Source organism: Homo sapiens, chromosome 6 (genome assembly GCF_000001405.40).
Source record: "Homo sapiens chromosome 6, GRCh38.p14 Primary Assembly".
NCBI lineage: Eukaryota > Metazoa > Chordata > Mammalia > Primates > Hominidae > Homo > Homo sapiens.
In genome coordinates this window covers 35,572,560-35,595,684 of record NC_000006.12, presented here as the reverse complement: position 1 = coordinate 35,595,684, position 23,125 = coordinate 35,572,560, and the positions used below count along the sequence as shown (strand labels likewise).

The 23,125-nt window shown below is 41.5% G+C and overlaps 1 protein-coding gene across 4 annotated transcripts in view, besides 2 other annotated features; it reads left to right on the top strand.

The window, feature by feature from the left end:
• The window catches only part of FKBP5 (FKBP prolyl isomerase 5), a 154,994-nt gene extending 132,899 nt beyond the window's left edge, over positions 1 to 22,095 (top strand). For 3 of the 4 annotated variants that reach the window (NM_001145775.3, NM_004117.4, NM_001145776.2), the window contains 5 exons: positions 4,465 to 4,555; positions 8,568 to 8,651; positions 15,464 to 15,649; positions 18,452 to 18,691; positions 19,743 to 22,095. In NM_001145775.3, the coding sequence (NP_001139247.1) occupies positions 4,465 to 4,555; positions 8,568 to 8,651; positions 15,464 to 15,649; positions 18,452 to 18,691; positions 19,743 to 19,850 (709 nt within the window). In that variant the 3' untranslated portion in view covers positions 19,851 to 22,095. Of the gene's footprint in view, positions 1 to 4,464; positions 4,556 to 8,567; positions 15,129 to 15,463; positions 15,650 to 18,451; positions 18,692 to 19,742 lie in introns of those variants that run through there. The other variant, NM_001145777.2, reaches the window with a different exon arrangement.
• Positions 4,527 to 4,727: a silencer, noted in NCBI's record as "peak5770 fragment used in MPRA reporter construct". NCBI's record gives its function as "represses an SCP1 promoter by STARR-seq MPRAs in K562 erythroleukemia cells {active_cell/tissue: K562}" and the evidence as "EXISTENCE:reporter gene assay evidence [ECO:0000049][PMID:32103011]".
• Positions 13,607 to 13,807: a silencer, noted in NCBI's record as "peak5768 fragment used in MPRA reporter construct". NCBI's record gives its function as "represses an SCP1 promoter by STARR-seq MPRAs in K562 erythroleukemia cells {active_cell/tissue: K562}" and the evidence as "EXISTENCE:reporter gene assay evidence [ECO:0000049][PMID:32103011]".

Below are 23,125 nucleotides of genomic sequence, written 5' to 3'. Positions count from 1 at the left end.
CAACCTCCAGGGCTCAGGTGATCCTCCCACTTCAGTCTCTAGAGTAGCTGGGACTACAGGTGTGTGCCACCACACCCGGCTACTTTTTGTATTTTTTGTGGAGACAGGGTTTTGCCATGTTGCCCAGGCTGGTCTCCAACTCCTGGACTCAAGTGATCCGCCTGTCTCACCCTCCCAAAGTGCTGGGATTGATTACAGGCATGAGCCACTGCGCCAGGCCATCTCTGATTACTTTTAATCAGCATTTCAAAATTACAGTAGTTCTAAACTCAGAGAGGTGGATTTATGTGTAATGTATATTTTCAAAATTTAAGCTCCCTTAGGATAAATTCTGTATGTATTATGACAACATAATGTTATAGGAACCAGTTTATATACATTACATTTTAGCCTGGCTGACAAGGCAATTGTGGGGACAGATGTCTCAAGTTTAGTGACAAAGAAAAATAGAAATTGTCTTTAAATTTTTTAACGCAAACAGTTCTTTACAGATTTAAACTGTTTGTTGTATCATTAGTGGTTACACTTTGCTCTGTGCGCTTGGCCAAGGCACTTAACCCTCCTAAGCTTCAGTTTCCCCTCTGTAAATGGGGATGACAGTATCCATCTCATAAAGTTATGGAGAGCTAAATAAAATCCTGCACATATAGGGCACACATGAGCCCGCAGTGTGTGAGCTTTTGTTGCTATTGTGACGGCTCACCTTCTCTTCCATTTTACCCTCGGACCACAAGAAAAAGGAAATCCTGTTTAACATGAGATCAATCTTTCAGATCTTTTCAGGCATAAAAGTTGTCAATAGGTTTTCATAAATTTCTAGGTATAAAAGTTTATGAGTTTTATGGAAATAATTTAGCATATTTAGAAAGGAACATTATTTTTGTTCAAGGTGTTGGTATGTTGGAGAATTATGTGAAGTGCATTCTCTGTAATATGAGACTGCTGCATATGCATTGCGTAGTACTACATATATATGTAGAAAACCCCTACATGCTATATATGTGTGTGCGTATGCATACTGTGTGTATAGAAAACCCCCTACATGCTATATATGTGTGTGTGTATGCATGCTGTGTGTGTGTATAGAAAACCCCTACATGCTAAGCATGTTTTCAGTGCAGGCAGTGAATTTACTTGTTTTATTCAGCTTCCCACTTTCATAAAACATTGCATCTAAATGTTGCTATAAGTATGGCTGTTGCAGAAAATATCTGCAAATAGCTCTTAGTGTCATCTGTATTTCATTCTCCAGAAAATTTCCAAGGCAGACCTTCTCTGTGACTCTGATACTCTGATAGACTCTCGGGAAGAATGTTTTCTTTCTGTCCCTCCCCCACCCCCCGAGACAGGGTCTCACTTTCACCTAGGCTGGAGTAGGGTGGCATAATCTGTAGCCTCGAACTCCTGGGCTCAAGGGATCCTCCCACCTCAAGCTCCTGGGTAGCTGGGACTACAGGTGTGCTCCATCCTGCCTGGCTGATTTTTTTCATTTTGTAGAAACAGGGTCTTACTATGTTGTCCAGGCTGGTCTCAAACTCTTGGGCTCAAGCAGTCCTCCAGCCTCAGCCTCCCAAAGTGCTTGGGATTACAGGTGTGAGCCACCACACCTGGCCTAGAATGTCTTCATAATAAGAAAGTCATAAAACATTTCCAGACAATCCATTTTTCTTTCTCCTCATTGGGACAATATCTTCCCTTTGTATTGTTTTAAATACTGAGACTAATAAATCTTTTTTGTTTTAGGTCAAGTGTATATAGTTTTAACTTTTTTTTCCGTCCTTTCCTTATGTTTCTGTCACGCATGAACCCCAAACAAAAACACAGGCTATTGGTCAGGCAAGGTGGCTCACACCTGTAATCCCAGCACTTTGGGAGGCCGAGGCGGGAGGATCACTTGAGGTCAGGAGTTCGCGACCAGCCTGGCCAACATGGTGAAACCCCGTCTCTACTAAAAATATAAAAATTAGCTGGGCGTGGTGGTGCATGCCTGTAATTCCGGCTACTCGGGAGGCTGAGGCAGGAGAATCGCTTGAACCCAGGAGGCGGAGGTTGCAGTGAGCTGAGATCATGCCACTGCACGATGCCTGGGGTGACAGAGTGAAACTCTTGTCTCAAAAATAAAAATAAAAAAACAGACTACCAAGAGCCATAATGTCTAGTTATGAGGCAGTATGAGTCCAAAAAACCTGATTTTCTGGGGACACACAGGGTCTGAATTTAAACCTGGCTCTACCACTGCCTGTGTGTGACTTCTCAGGAAGCACTCTGTGTCTTTATCTGCAAAAAGGGAGCAATTGGTAAGAGCTTGTAGTCCAAGTGCTTCTTATATGCACATTAAGGCTTAATGGTCATTCATAGTCATTATTTGTATCTCTATTCTCTGGAGGAAACTCTTAATTCAAGGGCATTAACGCTGAATTCCTTCTGTTACCATAGTCTAGATTATCTTTTGGTTAGGTCTTGGGATTCCTCTTGTGGTGTTTTGTTTTTCAGTCAGATGAGTTGGGTGCCCTGGTTCCTTCTTCACCCAGGCTGACAACTTTCTGTGTAATATGGAAGTCAGGGTAGGTGCTGCCAGAATATCTTGGCGTGGGCTTCCACCTCTGCAGGATCATGTGCGCCACACGTATCTTGACTGAATCGCTTCATTTTAACCTGGGAGAGATTGTAGAAATAATATTTTTCTTTAGTCTTCTTTAATCCCATCAATAATAGGACACTTGGTGCCTCCCTTGATACAGCCCCACATTCCCCACAGGCAGATTTTCTCATCCTCAGCACTGTTGACACTTTGGGCTTGCTAATCCTTGGTCATAGGGGGCTGTCACGTGCATTGTAGAATATCCAGCAGTATTCCTGGCCTCTTCCCACCAGATACCAGTAGCACCCCCATAGTTGTGACAACCCATAATATTTCTAGACATTGCCAAAGGTTTCCTGGAGGGAAGAGGAGTTAAAATCAACCTGGTTGAGATCTGCTGGTCTAAGGCAAATGCCAGATCATTTGTTGCATTTGCAACTGCTTAGCACAGGACTCCAAATATAACATGCTCTCAGAAAATATGTGCTTAGCAAGGACTCACCTACCTACCTGGGTAGTTAAGGAATTTTTTTAAAATTTATTAGATGGCAGAAACAAGGTAGTAGGTATATACATCTAAGAGCTCAAAGTAGAAAATTAGGCATCACTTCTTAAAATTGGTCACTGGTAATTATGTCTTTGTGGAAGATACCCTTTGCCCCGCTCCTCATTCCTACCAGCTCTCGTATCTCTATTCCTCTTTTTGGCTCCAGCTTCCATTTTCTGTGTAACAGTGGAGGTGAGTGAGTAAGCATTTTTATTCCTGGAAAATCCAGGCAAAGGGTAAAGAAAGTGGTGCAAGCAACAAAATTTGAGTGTTCCCACTCTAGTCCCTTTGCCCCAGAGAAAACTGGAGGTATTAGATTAAGTCGGTTTTGACATCTTTCAACCTGTACCTTGAAAGCTTGAGTTTACTAAGTTTTTTGTAATACCATTTCATATATTAAAGAACAGCTTTGCTTGCAACAAATGGGAACATAATATATTTCAGTGAACACTTGACTAATATGCTGGGCCTTGTTCTAAACAAACACTGGGAAACAGGTGAACCAGACAGAGCTCTGCTACAGCTCCCATTCTAGTAAATATCTGCTTCCCGAATACATTTAATTTGCTGGAGATCTTACATGATCCCAAGAAAACAAATGTATATGTCCTCAGTTATTTTTTTCAGTAAGTTTTGGCTAAAAGGTATAGAATCCTACACTCTGATAGCTATAAGCCATAAGAATATTTCTCTAGAGGAGGTGTCAGAACTTGCTAGGGCAGCTATTTTTGAGTATATCATTATGTTATTTGTGTTTCTTCATGTGCTTTTAAAAAAACTTAAATAGTGTGAAAACTTTTCTCTCCTGATGTGTGAGCCTTTCCCCTTCACTTATGTGACTGGAAGTGGTACTACTAGAAGTGACAGCACTTTAAAGTTAAAAGCTTATTAAAACATACCTCCCGTGAGTACCACTCTAACAATTACAGTGGCTGTGTCTTCTCTGTCCTTTTTGCTGATAAAACTTAGGGGAAAATTCCTGGCAGCTAAATCATGGCCATTTTATTAAAAAAAAAAAACTAGATATGAAATCAAGTAGAGAAAAAGACAGTGACATTTAAAATCCCATGAATCAAGCTGCCCCAAGGAGTACAGGTGTTGCATTACATGTGAATGTGAAGGAGAAAAGAAAACTAAACCTAGCCTGGTTTCTAAGAAAACTGTAGCAGTGAAGATACTTCACACTGTATCTTCTGGTCAACATCTGGTTTGTCTTCAGGGTCTCTGACACATGTAGCTTGCAAATGATAGCTCTGTTGATGCCTCAAAATACTGAAGGAAGTGCCTGGAAATACACCAATCCTTTTAAAGTTTTATTTTTTACTCTCCATTTCAGATATGGTTTTGGAGAGGCAGGGAAGCCTAAATTTGGCATTGAACCTAATGCTGAGCTTATATATGAAGTTACACTTAAGAGCTTCGAAAAGGTGAGAAAATACCAACTTCCTTAAAATTATGGTAGGTTTCTTCTCCATCCACTTCCTATAAATCAGTATCTTATCTTAGTAGGTGGTATAGATAGATGGTGTTTATTCATTATCAAGTTTGTCTCTTGCCTCCAACACTGCTGCTGAAGAATAGAACAACTGACATAGCACAGCTGATATACAACGAAGGAGCTCCGTGTTCTTATTTTGTTCCTATGTGTCAGCTTTTTTTTTTTTTTTTAACTTTTTTGGGTAGAATCCAAGACTTGTTCCCTTATTTGTTCCTAGACTTGTTCTTTTTGTACTTTTTTTTTCCTGGGTTGAGGACAGAAAGGTTCACGTTCTGCCAAGTGGCTCCTTGGGGGAGTGGGGTGCAGCTTTTCAGAGCTGAACGGATTGTACCCTTCACAGGAGTCACGAAGAGGCCTGCACTGTGGCTCCAAGTTGTTATCCCAACTGCAAGTCCTCGAGGGCCACTAGGCTCTGTGACCAGAGATACAAGAAAGAAAGCAGCTAACCCGAAGCCATTTTTTTTTTATACTTCTCCAAGTAGAGAAGAGAGAGAATTTGTCAGTTGCCTTGGATTCCAGAAACAGCATGCCTCCTTGAACATATTTCCATCTCAGTTTCACTCTGGAGGCTCCCAGCAGCAGCCGACCTGGACACACACAGCATATACCTGAGCTAGGTATGCTGTTGTCTTCGGCCACGTGCCCCTGGCATTTCCAAAGCCCCACCCTTTGTGGAGCTCAAGGACTGCATTTGTGTTCCTTTTTTATTCCTGCACAGTGCTACCTCCACGTTCTGTACATTCAACTTTTTTTTTTTTGAGATAGGGTCTCACTCTTGTCACCCAGGCTGGAATACAGTGAGCGCGATCATAGCTCACTCCAGCCTCAACTTCCTGGGCTCAAGCAGTCCTCTCACCTCAGCCTTCCAAGTAGCTGGGACTACAGGCACACGCTACCACACCCAGCTAATTTTGTTTATTTTTTGTAGACATGGGGTCTCACTGTGTTGCCCCAGCTGGTCTCAAACTCCTGGGCTTGAGCCATCCTCCTGCCTTGGCCTCCCAAAGTGCTGGGATTGTAGGGGTGAGCCACTGTGCCTGACCACATTAAGCACATTAATATAAATGGAAACATGACCATTTATATTTTGTTAGATTCAGAAAAGAAATCATTGTCCTGTGGGCCTGTACCTTTGGGCTAAGAAAGTGAGGGGAGGCCTGCTTTGGGATTCACCCCCAGTAGTGACATTCCTAATCATACCTCTTCTACTTCATGTTCCCCCAAACAAACATATGTCTGGTTATGACCACTGATTGTTGTCATGTAACCTCTTCTGAAGGCCTGCTAGCTCAGCACTGATCCCCCAATGCTGTTGTCATAGCATATGGTGTTTTTTTATTGTTAAAGAGAGAGAAGATAATCTTTAGCATGTGGTTATTTAGACCTATGGCTTTACTATTTCCATTTTTGTAAAGCAGCCTCTTGCCCCTTCCTTCTCGTGGCCCAGTGGACATTGCTTATTTAGGAGCACTCTCCCAGTGGTGTGCCACAGCAAGCCTGTGCTCTGTCATCACTCCAAGAGTATATTCATGCACTGCTGCTTGGTATATTTGAAATCACATGAAGGTATATGATGTTGTTTGGGGCAATGTGATTTAATCCTCTGCCTTGTTAAGAATAGACTAGGCCAGGCTGGGCGCTGTGGCTCACGCCTGTAATCCTAGCACTTTGGGATGCCGAGGTAGGTGGATCACCTGAGGTCAGGAGTTTGAGACCAGCCTGGCCAACATGGTGAAAACCCATCTATGCTAAAAATAGAAAAATTAGCTGGACGTGGTGGCAGGTGCCTGTAATCTCAGCTATTCGGGAAGCTGAGACAGGTGAATCGCTTGAACCCAGGAGGTGGAGGTTGCCGTGAGCCGAGATCATGCCACTGCACTCCAGCCTGAGAGACAGAGCAAGACTCCGTCTCAGAGGAAAAAAAAAAAAATATATATATATATATATAAAAATATATATATATATAAAAATATATATATAAATATATACACACACACACATACACACACATACTTATATTCCAGGCATGGTGGCTCACACCTATAAATCCCAGCACTTTGGGAGGCCAAGGCAGGATTACTTGAGCCGAGGAGTTCAAAACCAGCTTGGGCAACATAGTGAGACCCCCCTCTCTGCAAAAAAATTTAAAATTTTCCTGGGTGTGGTAGCACATTCCTATATTTCCAGCTACTCAGGAGGCCAAGATAGGAGGATGGCTTGAGCCCAAGAGTTTGAGACCAGCCTGAGCAACATAGTGAGACCCCGTCTCTACCAAAAAAAAAAAAAAAAAATTAGCTGGACATGGTGGCACATGCTTGTGGTCCCAACTACTCGGGAGGCTGAGGCAGGAGGATTGCTTGAGCCTGGGAAATCGAGGCTACAGTGAGCCGCGATCGTGCCACTGCACTCCAGCCTGGACGACAGAGCAAGATCCTGTCTCAAAAAAAGAAAAAATAAAAGAGTATCCTGTCTCAAAAAAAGAAAAGACAACAGAGCAAGATCCTGTCTTAGAAAAAGAAAAAATAAAAAAAAATTCCATAAAGACTGAAGCCAACCTAAGAAATACAAAGAGACTTATTAACTAGGTGTTCTTTGTTTTTGTTTTTTGGGTGCTAAAACCTGGAATTGAACCATAACTAGGTTTTTGAGTAATTTGAGCTACATTATTAGGAAGCAGAATTACATGAGTTGCCAGAAAGATGAGTAACCCTTTTATTATTCACTTTTAAAAAGTAGAGGATAGTCACTGGGCGCGGTAGCTCACGCCTGTAATCCCAGCTGAGGTGGGTGGATCACCTGAGGTTGGGAGTTTGAGACCAGCCTGACCAATATGGAGAAACCCCGTCTCTACTAAAAATACAAAAAATTAGCCGGGCATGGTGGTGCATGCCTGTAATCCCAGCTACTCCGGAGGCTGAGGCAGGAGAATCACTTGAACCCGGGAGGCAGAGGTTGTGGTGAGCCAAGATCACACCATTGCACTCCAGCCTGGACAACAAGAGCGAAACTCCGTCTCAAAAAAAAAATAATAATAATAATAATAATAAAAGTAGAGGATAGCAGGGGCTGTGACACCAGGAACACACACTCGTTATCTTTTGAATAGAGAGAATTTTAGTTACCCATTTAAACTTCATAATTTATATGCAGTAAATAGCACTGACCACACCCACTGTCACTTTTCCTAAAGGCTCCCAGATTGTTCTCTTGACTCTGGTCCTTCTAAATCCAGCTTGTAAATGGCAAGTGCAGTTATTTCTGGATTTGTATCTGTAATGGTGGAAGTAATAATACACACAATACAAGCTAGCAGATGATAATGAAGTCATTTATTTATGGCTCTAAAGTGATATTTTTGCATGAGCTTTACTCCCAATTATGTTTTGCTTGAAGTCCCCCCCAGTATACATCTGCAAGTTGATACAATTTAGCAGTATTATTAGTATATCTGGTTGTTTTAGAGTGGCAAGACAACCTGACCCAGAATTTTGAAAATTCTGTATGAATATACAAACTACAACTTGACTACAGTCATGTTCCCATTTTAGAGTTGAAAAACAGGCTTGAGAGAAACAGCCTAGTGGAGAGGTTTGCAGAGGGAGATAAGGCATGGCCTTAACTTTGTGTGGGTTCACCTTGTATTTCTAAAGATGCACTTTGTAGCAGTGCTTACCAGAGTACGTTCCTTACTGTGTTTTTGCGGCTCCTCTCTCTTGAGCAACATTGTTCAAGCTACAGCTTGGTCATGATGGAAAGTGAGTTCTTCAAACAGTATGAAGAAGCACTGGCCTAGCAGTAAATTGGCACTGACACACAATTTCAACAGCCAGAGTGTTTTCAGTTTGGAGTATCTTCTAGAATTAGCTGCTCTTTGTTCCAATAGGCCTCAACTGATGCTTTTCTCTCTGTTCATCTAACCATTGTCACAAATTTACACACAGGCCAAAGAATCCTGGGAGATGGATACCAAAGAAAAATTGGAGCAGGCTGCCATTGTCAAAGAGAAGGGAACCGTATACTTCAAGGTGTGTGAGTCCCTATGCAATCCTTTCCATCTCAAAGAATTTATTCAAGTGTTGGTGAATTGTGCTGATATTCCCTACTCTGAATTTTGTCAACACTGCTTGGTAAGAATAAGCTGCAATTTTTATAAATCTGTCATTTTCAATATGAAAAATGGTGAGAAAACAATCATGTGGAAAAAAAAAAAAGTACAGATTCCTCTTTTACACATTCTGCTCTAGATTGTAACCTTCCATACAGGCAGACCAGGTCTGGCATCCCCACCCACCACAGTATCACTCACTCCTAAAGCATCTTGCTTGGTACATAGTTGGCACTCAACAAGTGTTTTTGGAATGAAAAAAGAATGAATAGAATAATTGTTAGCAAAGAATGGAATTCATAAGGGTAAGTTTCACATCATTTTTCTTTCTTCCTTTTTTTTTTTTTGTATGAGAGACAGGGTCTCCCTTTCTTTCCCAGGCTGGTCTCAAACTTCTAGCCTCAAGCAATCCTCCCACCTCAGCTTCCCAAAGTGCTGAGATTACAGGCGTGAGCCACTGCACCGGGCCCATCTTCCTTTAGACTGTCTTGATGAAGTCACTAGAGCATATGATAAAAGGAGAGAGGACATGCACAAATTTCAAAACAAACTGACAGGAGAGTATTGATTGCTTCTAATGGCCAAGATGATTCCTGCACACTTGCTTTTATGAGGAATCTCCGGATATTCCTGAATGATATTCATCATAAATTGCTTCTCAGAAACCCTTCTTGGAGCAACTAGGAGTGTGATATTTTCTCACTTAGATCTTAAACCTCTAGATGTAAGAAAAAAAGAAACCGCCCTTCATTCTGTTTTAATCAGTGTTCTACCCATTGCTTCCCCACCCCAAATATATGCCTTCTCCATGTCAAGCAGAAAGGGCTTAGTGATGAGAATTAGAGGGAGAATGGGAGTTCTGTCAAGGTTTCTTTCGTTTTCTGCCACTGCAATACAGAAATTAGATGTTTTTCAGCAGTATAAAGCAGTGAGGCATAAGTGTACTTTAACAAGTCTTTATGGGGCATCTGCTATAAGACATGCTATTATTAAGTTACAACCTTGTCAGGAGGGAGGAGTGGCAATGTTAATCCAAATGAAACAACTAGAGAATTATGTAAGAATATATAATCAACCCAAAATTAACACAGCCAGAGGGCACCATGTGTTTTCAGAATTTGAGCTGAGACAATATTGGGTCATGAAATCAGTTTTGTGGAAGTGTATTGCAATATGTTATAAGGATCAGTTTTGTTGCATAAAACTTTGCTTGTGTATGAGTAAGTACTGGATTGCATATTTCTTACTGTGGGTGGTATTCAAACAAATTTTAAATCATGGGTTTAGATAAGTATAAATATATAAATATGTTATTTATCATTATTTACTATGTATACTAAACTCTTATGGATCACCAGAAAGCATGGGGGTATGATAGAATAAGCTCAGAATTGGGAAAAATGGGCTTTATTGCTCTTCAAATGATTTAGTCATTTAAGGTCCAAAGAGGTTATATTTTCAAGTGAAAAATAGGGGAGTTAGATGTTCCCCAAGTTTCTTTCCAGCCTGAATTTCTGTGAGTTTCTAAACTCTCAAGAACAAGTGTTATTTTTTTGGTTTTGTTTTGTTTTTAATTCTAATTGAGGTATATTGGATACTTCTAAACTATTCAAGTAAGATTCCAAGTGGGTTATTTGTATATCCAAATACATAATACACTAGAGGGAAAAATGTTTCTACAAAATTTCTTAAGATCGTGAGTCCTTAACAGTATTTTCTATATTTCCGAAGTCCATAAAAATCCTTAACTATATTTTATATATTTCCTCAATACTTCCAAATAGAATATTAACAGTTTGGGAAGATTTGAGGCTTTTGGCCTTTGACTAGAATTATATCGATTCAGTGTAGTAAAACAGCTCAGCTATTCAGAGGCTCTAATCGGTGCTATGATACAGAATTTTGGAGAACATTATTGGTAATGAAATAATGTTATGAAGCCATCTGTCATATAGCTGTGTTCTGAATATATACAGAGAGATGGCCAGAATTAGTGATCAGTAGCAGAAAGCAATGAGTGTCTGTACAGTTACTTAACTTTGTTGCTTATCAGCATCACAACTGCAAGAGTGATACTATTATGAACCTACTTAAAATTACCAATCTTTGGATAAAATCTGGATCAGCAGTCACACACATGGAAAAAATTATTTTTAACATGGAATTTGATAGGCAAAATTTTTCAAAACATTAGTCCATTGGGGAAAAATTAATGAAAGGTTCAAAACCACTGACCTGAGACTTTTCTCCCAGAATGTCTCTGAACATTTTGTACCACTAAAAACTTCCCTGGAGGCACCTTTATAATTATAGGTAAAAGATCCCAGCAGTAGTCCTAGCGTTAGCTGTAAAACTTCAAAATGGTTAGTAGATAGTTTCCTGTACATATTCCCTTCCCAACTCAGGGCAGGTTTCAATCTGCCATACTGCCCTCCCGGGCCTTGTCTTTCCAGGGTGTCTGACTTGGCATGTTATGCATTTGCACAGAGTCCAGATGTGTAGGTGAGAGCAGAGATGGGCTGAACTAAAGATCTGTATTTCATGCCATCTGCATATTGGAATTCTGTTTCCATTGATCTGTTGGTTTGGTTTATACCTAAATGGGTAAAGCCTCTCTCCTGAGTAGGATTGAATTGTACTCAGCTTTTAAGTGGGAATGATTTTGCCATTGAAGATGTAAAGTCCTCATTTCAACCTCTGAATACTAAAGAGAAGAAAAATAGAGAACTCTATTTGGCTCTGAAAATAATTATTAAGTACAGGTAACAGCATAATATTAAGCCAGGCATTGTGCAAGCGAGTTAAACAGACACGATTTTTGCCCTCATAGCTGACAGTGTTCTGCAGGACAGGAGCATTAACTCACACCTGGTCAGTGTTTTTCTTTTTTCTGACTTGGCAGCAGAGTGGCAAGAAGGCTAAGAACACTGAAGTGATGTGGGATTCTTGCGCCCCCTTGTGCTTCTCCTGGGAAGAAAGCATTTCTAAAACAAACTAGTTGAGGAGAATTGTTCAACCTCTAAACTCTTCAGATAAATCGGGCTTTGCTATATTTTCACCACCCTTGCTGTTCCAAGATACCAGTAATGTGATTTAGAAACAAGCCGTTTATGACTCTAGGATTTGATGTTTTAAAAAAAATTCCTAAGAAGAGTCCACCCTGTCTTTCATCTCTTTCCTTTAGTGCAGAATTTTTCAACCTCAGTACTATCAACATTTGGAGTGGGATAATTCTTGATTGTGTGGGGCTGTCTTGTGCATTGTAGAATATTTAGCAGCATTCCTGGCCTCTGCCCATTAGATGCCAGTAGCATCCTACCCAGTTATGACAACTAAAAATGCCTCCAGACCTGCCAGGTGTTCCCTGGGGGGCAAAATCACCCCCCAGTTGAGAACTGCTTTAGTACCTCAGAAGCAGGGAGTACAAGACAGACTTTTCGCTAATTGGAAGTTGAAGTCTAAATAAAGTTACATGATATATATGCAAGAGCTTTCAAAAAATTAAAATGCCCTATGTGAAGGAACTATTAAGAAGTCTAATACCTGTTTTTTGTGTTTTGTTTTGTTTTACCATGGCCTTCTACCATTCTGATTATTCAGAACTTATTGAAATGTTAAGATCTAGGTTTTTGTCCTCCCTGGCTCTTCTTTTCTTTCCCTATACAATATATTAGGAGATAATCAGAAAAGTTAAGTTAATCAATGCATTAGAGAGGGAGGAGGAGAGAGGATGAAGAAATGAGGCATGACAGGGGAAATGCCTGTCCTTCCTATCTCATCTCAGTGAAACAACACTTTTCATTTCCACCCACACATTTTTTGCTCCCAATGATAGCAAAAGGTTTTGTTGTTGGTATTGTTTTTAGAGAGAGAGGGTCTTACTCTGTCACCCAGGCTGGAGTGCAGTGGCACAAGCATAGCTAACTGCAGCTTCGAACTCCTGGACTTAAGAGATCCTCCTGCCTCAGCTTCCCAAAGTGCTGGGACTATAGGCGTGAGCCACCACACCACTTTAGAAAAAGTCTTGATTCCATATTTACATTCCTTTGATTTCAATATTTACTCAACAAACCTTTATTAAAGACCTCTTGGTGCTAAACCCTGAATATTCCAAAAGGGAGAGGACAATGCTGCCTGTCCTCAAAGACCAGCAAGAGAAAAGGCAGTGACAGAAAGAAAATGCCGACCTGAAACTGGTGAGGACTTTATTCTTTTTTTTTTGTAGCATCCAAAAAAGGAGTGGTAGGCCTAAGACTATGACAAAATTTAAGTATTGTCTTAGCTTGGGCTGCCACAGTAAAATACCATACACTGGGTGGCTTCAACAACAGGAATTTACTTCTGGAGACTGTAAGTCCCAGATCAAGGTGTTAGCAGGATCAGTGTCTGGGGAGGGCCTCTCCTCTGGTTCCTTGTAGCTCCCTTCTTGCTGTGTTCTCACATGGCCTTTCCACATGCATGTGAGTGGAGAGAGGGCAGAGGGCAGCAAGCACCCGAGTTTCTTCTTATAAAGGCTCTAATCCCATCATGAGGCCCCACCCTCATGACCACATCTAACCTAATTCCCTCCCCAAATGCTCCATCTGCAAATATCACATTCGGGGTGAGGGCTTCAACATAGGAATTTAGGATGGGGGACACAATTCAGTCCATAGCAAATCTAATTTCCTCAAGAATTTCAGCATTTAAAATAAAATGCCCTGGTTTCGTGTTCTTATGAATGACCTGTATCACACACTTCTGAGGCAGAGAGGGTGACAGACTTTGATTTTAGTGCCAGTCTTCCCTCTCCTAAGTGAGTGACTTGGGAAGAAGGATGTTCGAGGGATGTAGCCTGGCCCTCATTCACACCCAGGCCCTCCAGCTGGAACAGGTCTGCCCCATCTTCATCACCAGAAAATCCACACCAGGGCTTCCTTTCTACAGGCAGAGCTCGTTTCTTACATCACCCACTTGAAGTCCTGTATCACAGGCATGTCCTCTTAGACCTGCTCTATGGTTTTTCTCTTACTCAGACTCCTTGGGTGAGGGTTGGAGTATTTGTGGGGAGAGACAACTCGGCAGTGAGATGTACGCGCTGCTTGGGCTGTGGTAAATCCTAGTAACATGGTCTTAACACTGTTGGTCAGGCATTGAATTTAATGTCCTAATAGGTCTGGCTGCTCCTCTGCCATCTGGCAGGATGTATCATCTGTGGTTTTGAGCTTATCACCTCCTCAAAGGAGAATCCCCACTTGTACTCCTGTTTCTATTTGCGTATTTACCAGCGATTCCCCAGTGCTTTCATTTACCTTAAAATCACAGTGGACACATTGTCTCAGCCCTGGAGGGGTTTTGTTTTGTTTTGTTTTGTTTTGTTTTGTTTTTGAGGAGTCTCGCTCTGTCACCCAGGCTGGAGTGCAGTGGCATGATCTTGGCTCACTGCAACCTCTGCCTCTTAGGTTCAAGCAGTTCTCCTGCCTCAGCCTCCTAAGTAGCCGGGATTACAGGCATATGCCACCATGCCTGGCTCATTTTTGTATTTTTAGTAGAGACGGCCAGGCTGGTCTCGAACTCCTGACCTCAGGTGATCCACCTGTCTCGGCCTCCAAAGTGCTGGGATTACAGGTATGAGCCACTGTGCTCAGCCCCCAGCGTTTCTCATATGAGCATGTATATATATATATATTATATATATATTATATATGTTTATATTTATATATATTATATATAACTGACAGACCTTTCTGATGTATATTGTTTTATAGTTGTTATTTATGTTGTATGCTACTATCCAACTATTCATATTCCCATTGCCTATAGATCAGGGGTCAGCAAACTACAGTTTGCTGGCCAAATCTGGTCCCTGCCTGTTTTTGTAAGTACAGTTTAACTGAAACACAGCTGCACCCATTGATTTACATACTGTCTAGAGCAGCTTTTGCACTACAAATGATAAGAATTTAGTAGTTGCAACAGAGACTGGTTCAAATAGGATTGGCTGTGTTTGGAACTAGCACTTGCCAGAATGTAATATTTGCTGTGAAGTGCTGAAAAGAAAAGTAACTTCCTTTTCATTTTTTTAGTGGCATAGTCTAAAACTGCTCACAATCCTTTTGAAAGACTAAAGAATAGGCCAGGTGTGGTGGCTCATGCCTGTAATCCCAGCACTTTGGGAGGCCAAGGCAGGCGGATCACAAGGTCAGGAGTTCAAGACCAGCCTGGCCAACATAGTGAAACGCTGTCTCTACTAAAAATACAAAAAAAAATAGCTGGGCTTGGTGGCGGCCACCTGTAGTCCCCAGCTACTCGGGAGGCTGAGGCAGGAGAATCGCTGGAACCCGGGAGGCGGAGGTTGCAGTGAGCTGAGATGGCGCCATTGCACTCCAGCCCTGGAGACAGTGCGAGACTGTGTCTCAAAAAAAAAAAAAAAAAAAAAAAAAAAAAAGACTAAAGAATATTAGCACCAAAGAACATAGCCCAGAAGCCTTGCTGTACTACACCTGCTGAAGGGACGGATGGAAATGCTGCAGAGCAGCACTAGGCAGTGCTCAGGCACTGCCCCAAACCAGCCCACAGGCCATCGAGGCCTCCAAGGGAGTGGGAAAGGTACCTGGAGAGCCATCTCCAGAAGGAAAGAAAGAAACCAGCTGTACCAGGGTTTGCTGGAGGGGTTGCTTCACTTTGAGGATTTGCTTTTCTTTTGTACCCCCTCAAGAGCTGAGTACAAGTAATGACGCTTTTTTATCCTAGGGAGGCAAATACATGCAGGCGGTGATTCAGTATGGGAAGATAGTGTCCTGGTTAGAGATGGAATATGGTTTATCAGAAAAGGAATCGAAAGCTTCTGAATCATTTCTCCTTGCTGCCTTTCTGAACCTGGCCATGTGCTACCTGAAGCTTAGAGAATACACCAAAGCTGTTGAATGCTGTGACAAGGTAACATCGTGTCTCCTGTGAGATGGACTTTAGATACTCCAGATCTTTTCTCCATCTCTGTCTTTTGCTTCCTCTCAGCCAAAGGTTGCAGGATTTTTCATTTTGCTTTTTTTTATTTATTTGAATGTTTGGGATTATTTGTTTCTCAGTATGAATTGGGAAATTCAGCAAGATTTTTATTACAGTCAGACTTTTATGATACCTAGACTGTTTATCATAATGCATTCTGAAGAAAAGTTTTGATTAAAATTAAATAATTTTTATCCACGACCTTCCTTATAACTGTAGTATTTATATCAGAGTAGACGTATAACTCCTCAGGTTCAGTTTAATAAGAGAAGATTTAACTTAAGCTTTTCTGGACTTTAACAGACTGCAACTGTTCATATAAAGCATATATATAGGTCAATTTTTATTATAATCATTTATTCACTGATATGCATAAATAATATGAAAGGTCCACAGAGCATCAGCAGCCTTTTTATTTTTACATTTGTCTTATTAATACTATCTTTGGTCTTTTGAGTGCTTACACACAGTACTCTATAACAGTGGTTTATCATCTGTATCGTTATGTATCGTTCTGATATATTTATACACCAGCCGATACTATTTTAGGTATCTGGTCTCAGAGTGAACAGTATATATTATACTGTGGGTAAAAGTAAAAACTAATCATTGGATGTATCTTAAAGGTAGACATAAAAGGATAAGAAAAGCAAGGCAACTATTTTGTACATTCTTTGTGAGATTATTTTTGAATTTTGTGGATCAGTGTTTCCTATCGCATCCTCTCTCCCAAGACCAGTTATTAATTTTATATGTATTTTTTCGTTTTTTTCATACAGAGCGGAGAGAGAGAGAGAGAGAGTGTGTGCGCGCGCGCGTGTGTGTGTTTTGTTTGTTTTAGAGACAAGTTGTTGCTATTTTGCCCAGGCTGGGGTGCGGTGGCTATTAATACACATGAACATAATGTACTACAGCCTCAAACTCTGGGGCCCAAGCTATCCTCCCACCTCAGCCTCCTGAGTAGCTGGGACTACAAGTGCATGCCACCACACCCTGCTAATTTTTAAATTTACTTTTGTAGAGATGGGGGTCTTCCAAAGAGCTGGGATTAAAGTTGTGAGGTACCACACCCAGCACAGCCTTGACTACATTATTTTTCTGTCTTCTATTGACAGAAGCAGTCATATAGCATCACTATTAACCCTATCTTTGGCAATAGGAAGCCTGTTCTCCTTATTTTCCTCTTTTTTTTTTTTTTGGAGATGGAGTCTTTCTCTGTTACCCAGTCTGGAGTGCAATGGCACAATCTTGGCTCACTCTAACCTCCACCTCCCGAGTTCAAGCGATTCTCCTGCCTCAGCCTCCCAAGTAGCTTAGACCACAGGTGCCGACCACCACACCAGGCTAATTTTTGTATTTTTAGTAGAGACAGGGTTTCACCATGTTGGCCCGGCTGGTTTCCAATTCCTGACCTCAGGTGATTTGCCACCTCAGCTTCCCAAAGTGCTGGGATTACAGGTGTGAGCCACCACAACCCAGCAATTTTCTTTTAGCTTTGTTGATTATATCTTTCTCTTTAAAGAAGGTTTTAATGTTTATGTAGTCAGATTTGTCGTCTCCTTTCTAGTTAGAAAAGACTTCCCCACACCAAGATTATAAAAATAACTGAAGCCAGGCACAGTGGTTTACACCTGTGACCTGTAACCCCAGGACTTTCGGAGGCTGAGGCGAGAGGATTGCCTGAGCCCAGGAGATAGAGGCTGCAGTGAGCTGTGATTGAGCCACTGCCCTCCAGCCTGGGCGACAGAGTGAGACCCTGCCTCAAAAAAATAATGATTATATTTTACATATTTTAAAATAAAAAATAATTGAAACATTTTATGGTTTTTTTTAATATGTAAATATGGTTGATCTAGAATTTACTTTTGTGCTTACAATATGAGGTAAGAACTTTTTTTTTTTTTTTTTTTTGGAGACAAGAGTCTCACTCTGTCACCCAGCCTGGAGTGCAGTGGCACGATCTCAGCCCACTCCAACCTCCACCTCCCTGGTTCAAGCAATTCTCCTGCCTCAGCCTCCCAAGTAGCTGGGATTACAGGCGCCTGCCACCATGCCCAGCTAATTTTTGTATTTTCAGTAGAGACAGGATTTCGCCATGTTGGCCAGGCTGGTCTCGAACTCCTCACCTCAGGTGATCACCTGCCTCAGCCTCCCAAAGTGCTGGGATTAGGGTGTGAACCACTGCACCCGGCCTTAACTCTTATTTTCTATGTGGATAGCTGCCATCCTGGCCCCGTTTATTTTAAAGTTAACTCTCCACTGATTCACATTACCACCTTTGTCATTTTCAAATGTTTTTATATGCAGACACATGACTGTTTCTGAATGATTCGTTCTGTTCCACTGAGCTGTTTGTCCACATGCTAGTAACCAAACTGTCTTAATTTCAGTAGTTTTAAAGTTTGTCTTTTTCTCTGGTAAGACAAGTGCCTCTTATTTTTTTCTTTTTTCCCAAATTTTTTCAGCCATTCTTGGGCACTTATTTGTTCCAATGAACTTTAAAATGAACTTCTCAAGAGCCCCCTCTCAAATCTCCTTGGGATCTTTCTAGAAATTGCATTAAATGCAGAAAATAATTTGGGTAGTAAATTTTGATCAGTAGTATGTAATTATCTTGAGCCCCATTTTTTTAAATACACTTTTTCCATCTCCTTTGGCAAGAGAACTTTGGTAAGCTGTTTACTGAATTTATTAAAATTCGTCCTTTCTAAAATATAGACCATCTATTCCTAGGCCCTTGGACTGGACAGTGCCAATGAGAAAGGCTTGTATAGGAGGGGTGAAGCCCAGCTGCTCATGAACGAGTTTGAGTCAGCCAAGGGTGACTTTGAGAAAGTGCTGGAAGTAAACCCCCAGAATAAGGCTGCAAGACTGCAGATCTCCATGTGCCAGAAAAAGGCCAAGGAGCACAACGAGCGGGACCGCAGGATATACGCCAACATGTTCAAGAAGTTTGCAGAGCAGGATGCCAAGGTGTGTGCAGAGCCTGATGACTGCAGGTGGATCAAGAGCCTGACCATGCCCCTTTGATTTTAGGGGACAGGAACAGCTAAACAACCCAAGAGGCTCAAGAGCAGGGAAAACGATTTCCAATCTAATCTGAGGCTGCTTTGGATCCAAAGGTCGAGTAGGGCAGTTCCAGTCACCAAAGGCACACGTCATGAGAGATGAGAAAACTAAATTCCCTTCAGATGTATTAGATTGGTTCAAAAGTAATTGTGGTTTTTACCATTACTTTCAATGGCAAAAACAGCAATTTTGCACCAACTCCCCCCGCCCGCCCCCCGGGCCCCTGCCCGAGTCAGAGTCTCACTCTGTCACCCAGACTGTAATGCAGTCGTGCTAACATGGCTCACTGCAGCCTTGACTTCTCTGGATCAAGTGATCCTCCCACCTCAGCCTCCTGAGTAGCTAGGACAAGCACACTACCACACTGGGCTAATTTTTTAAAATTTTTTGTAAAGATAGGGTTTCACTTTGTTGTCTAGGCTGGTCTCGAACCCCTGGCTTCAAGGGTTCCTCCTGCTTTGGTCTCCCAAAGTGCTGGGATTATAGACATGAGCCACCATGCCCAGCCCTTTTGTCATTTTTGAAAAATTGTAAACCCATCAGGATTTTTTTTTCAAGTAAGACTTACGATTTTCCCAGGAAATGGGATGTTATAGGAGCCCCATCATCACACCTGTTATCTTGAGGGTCGGCAGCCAGCCTGAAAAATGTGGCAGGAGAGGTCTGTCTGCAGAGAGGGCGGCCTCCCTACAGCATAGTTGGCATTCTGGTCCTGTCCCCAGTCTCCAGGAATGCCCAGACTTCATTATCCCACAGCTGTCCCATGTGTCAACCAAAGAAAGGTGAAGCTCCCACTCTAACTATTGGTAGCACAGCCCTGACCTACCCAGCTAGATATCCTAGAGAAAATCATTGCAATACCTCGTGTTTGGGACCTGATACACAGTCTGGAGGAGCCAGGAATTATTTCACTTCTTTATTCTCTAACCTTCTTGATTGCTTATTTCTTCCTTAGGAAGAGGCCAATAAAGCAATGGGCAAGAAGACTTCAGAAGGGGTCACTAATGAAAAAGGAACAGACAGTCAAGCAATGGAAGAAGAGAAACCTGAGGGCCACGTATGACGCCACGCCAAGGAGGGAAGAGTCCCAGTGAACTCGGCCCCTCCTCAATGGGCTTTCCCCCAACTCAGGACAGAACAGTGTTTAATGTAAAGTTTGTTATAGTCTATGTGATTCTGGAAGCAAATGGCAAAACCAGTAGCTTCCCAAAAACAGCCCCCCTGCTGCTGCCCGGAGGGTTCACTGAGGGGTGGCACGGGACCACTCCAGGTGGAACAAACAGAAATGACTGTGGTGTGGAGGGAGTGAGCCAGCAGCTTAAGTCCAGCTCATTTCAGTTTCTATCAACCTTCAAGTATCCAATTCAGGGTCCCTGGAGATCATCCTAACAATGTGGGGCTGTTAGGTTTTACCTTTGAACTTTCATAGCACTGCAGAAACCTTTAAAAAAAAAATGCTTCATGAATTTCTCCTTTCCTACAGTTGGGTAGGGTAGGGGAAGGAGGATAAGCTTTTGTTTTTTAAATGACTGAAGTGCTATAAATGTAGTCTGTTGCATTTTTAACCAACAGAACCCACAGTAGAGGGGTCTCATGTCTCCCCAGTTCCACAGCAGTGTCACAGACGTGAAAGCCAGAACCTCAGAGGCCACTTGCTTGCTGACTTAGCCTCCTCCCAAAGTCCCCCTCCTCAGCCAGCCTCCTTGTGAGAGTGGCTTTCTACCACACACAGCCTGTCCCTGGGGGAGTAATTCTGTCATTCCTAAAACACCCTTCAGCAATGATAATGAGCAGATGAGAGTTTCTGGATTAGCTTTTCCTATTTTCGATGAAGTTCTGAGATACTGAAATGTGAAAAGAGCAATCAGAATTGTGCTTTTTCTCCCCTCCTCTATTCCTTTTAGGGAATAATATTCAATACACAGTACTTCCTCCCAGCATTGCTACTGCTCAGCTTCTTCTTTCATTCTAATCCTTGCTATTAAGAATTTAAGACTTGTGCTTACAATATTTTTGACCTGGAGTGGATCTATTTACATAGTCATTTAGGATCCATGCAGCTTTTTTTGTCTTTTTAAGATTATTGGCTCATAAGCATATGTATACTGGTTTATGGAACTTTATTTACACTCCTCTATCATGCAAAAAAATTTTGACTTTTTAGTACTAAGCTTAATTTTTAAAAACAAAATCTGTAGGGTTGACAAATAAATAGTTGCTCTTCTACACTAGGGGTTTCACCTGCAGGTTTGACACGCAGTTGCTCGCTTTTCCTGCCCTGTCAAGCTTCTCTGTTCTGGCGTGAGTTGTGAAAGAGTTGAAGACAGCTTCCCATGCCGGTACACAGCCAGTAGCCTAAATCTCCAGTACTTGAGCTGACCATTGAACTAGGGCAAGTCTTAAATGTGTACATGTAGTTGAATTTCAGTCCTTACGGGTAAACAGATTGAGCATGGCTCTCTATTCCCTCAGCCTAAGAAACACTCATGGGAATGCATTTGGCAACCCAAGGAACCATTTGCTTAAACCTGGAACATCTCACCTTTTTAAATCCTAAAAAACACTGGCAGTTATATTTTAAATTAGTTTTTATTTTTATGATGGTTTTATCAAAAGACTTTTATTATTAGATTGGGACCCCCTTCAAACCTAAAAATCAAGTTATTTCCTTTTATAATACTTTTCTTCCCCATGGAACAAATGGGATCAATTTGTGAGTTTTTTCCTTTAATGATAACTAAAATCCCTCTAATTTCTCATTTATGCTTTTGTCTTTTTTATGAAATATTTCTTTTAAAAGCCCCAGTCTCACCTACGAAATATGAAGAGCAAAAGCTGATTTTGCTTACTTGCTAAACTGTTGGGAAAGCTCTGTAGAGCATGGTTCCAGTGAGGCCAAGATTGAAATTTGATACTAAAAAGGCCACCTAGCTTTTTGCAGATAACAAACAAGAAAGCTATTCCAAGACTCAGATGATGCCAGCTGTCTCCCACGTGTGTATTATGGTTCACCAGGGGGAACTGGCAAAAGTGTGTGTGGGGAGGGGAAGGGTGTGTGAGTGGTTCTGAGCAAATAACTACAGGGTGCCCATTACCACTCAAGAAGACACTTCACGTATTCTTGTATCAAATTCAATAATCTTAAACAATTTGTGTAGAAGTCCACAGACATCTTTCAACCACCTTTTAGGCTGCATATGGATTGCCAAGTCAGCATATGAGGAATTAAAGACATTGTTTTTAAAAAAAAAAAATCATTTAGATGCACTTTTTTGTGTGTTCTTTAAATAAATCCAAAAAAAATGTGACTTCCCATTGTTTTTGGTTTTGCTTAAGTGATTTTCAGGGAAAGCTATATTGGTTAAAAAACCATGGTGGGGGCCAACTTGAAGAAATTAGACATCAGAGAGGTCAGGCGTAGTGGCTCATGCCTGTAATCCCAGCACTTTGGGAGGCCAAGGCAGGTGCATCACCTGAGGTCAGGAGTTTGAGACCAGCCTGGCCAATGTGGTAAAACCCTGTCTCTACTAAAAATACAAAAATTAGCCAGGTGTGGTGGTGCACACCTGTAATCCCAGCTACTCAGGAGGCTGAGGCAGGAGAATCACTTGAACCTGGGAAGTGGAAGTTGCAGTGAGCCAAGATTGTGCCACTGCACTCTGGCCTGGGTGACAGTGAGACTTGGTCTCAAAAAAAAAAAAAAAAAAAAAAAATCAGAAAATCGGCAATGGACAGTATCATCCTACACTTTGCTCTAAGGTGAACCTGAAACCAACATTGGGGTGAAAGTGGCAGAACAATGCATCGTTGCTAAAAAGAACCAAGTAATGGGAAAAATAAAAAGGTTTTGTTTTTTCATTAGCCAGCGGATATTTCACCTTTTTAAGCTGATTTTAAGGTAGGCTCGACTTGCAAAATAAAATTTAATTGTGCCCTTTAATAAATATATGAAACATAAGTAAGGCTATCTAAGGTGGTGGTCCATATTGAGCATGCATTTTCTTTCTTAAGTAGCATATATCATCAATACTCATCATCACAGACTCTCAAGGCCTAAGGAGATGTCACATATACTGCAAATCCTCATTTTCACACTGCAAAAGAAGGTGGCACAGTGCTGGAAGGTACTTAGTAGGACCTCTGAGGTCTACAGACAGGTTGATGCAGGTTCTAGGCACCCTTTATTCCCTCTGAATTCTTGGCTTCATCTCTGGATTTGAATTATATTTCTCCCTCCTCCCTGTTAAATTATTTGGTAATGAAATAAATTCCTAGCTAGGTGCGGTTGCTTATGCTTATAACCCCAGCACTTTGGGAGGCCGAGGTGGGCAGGTTGCT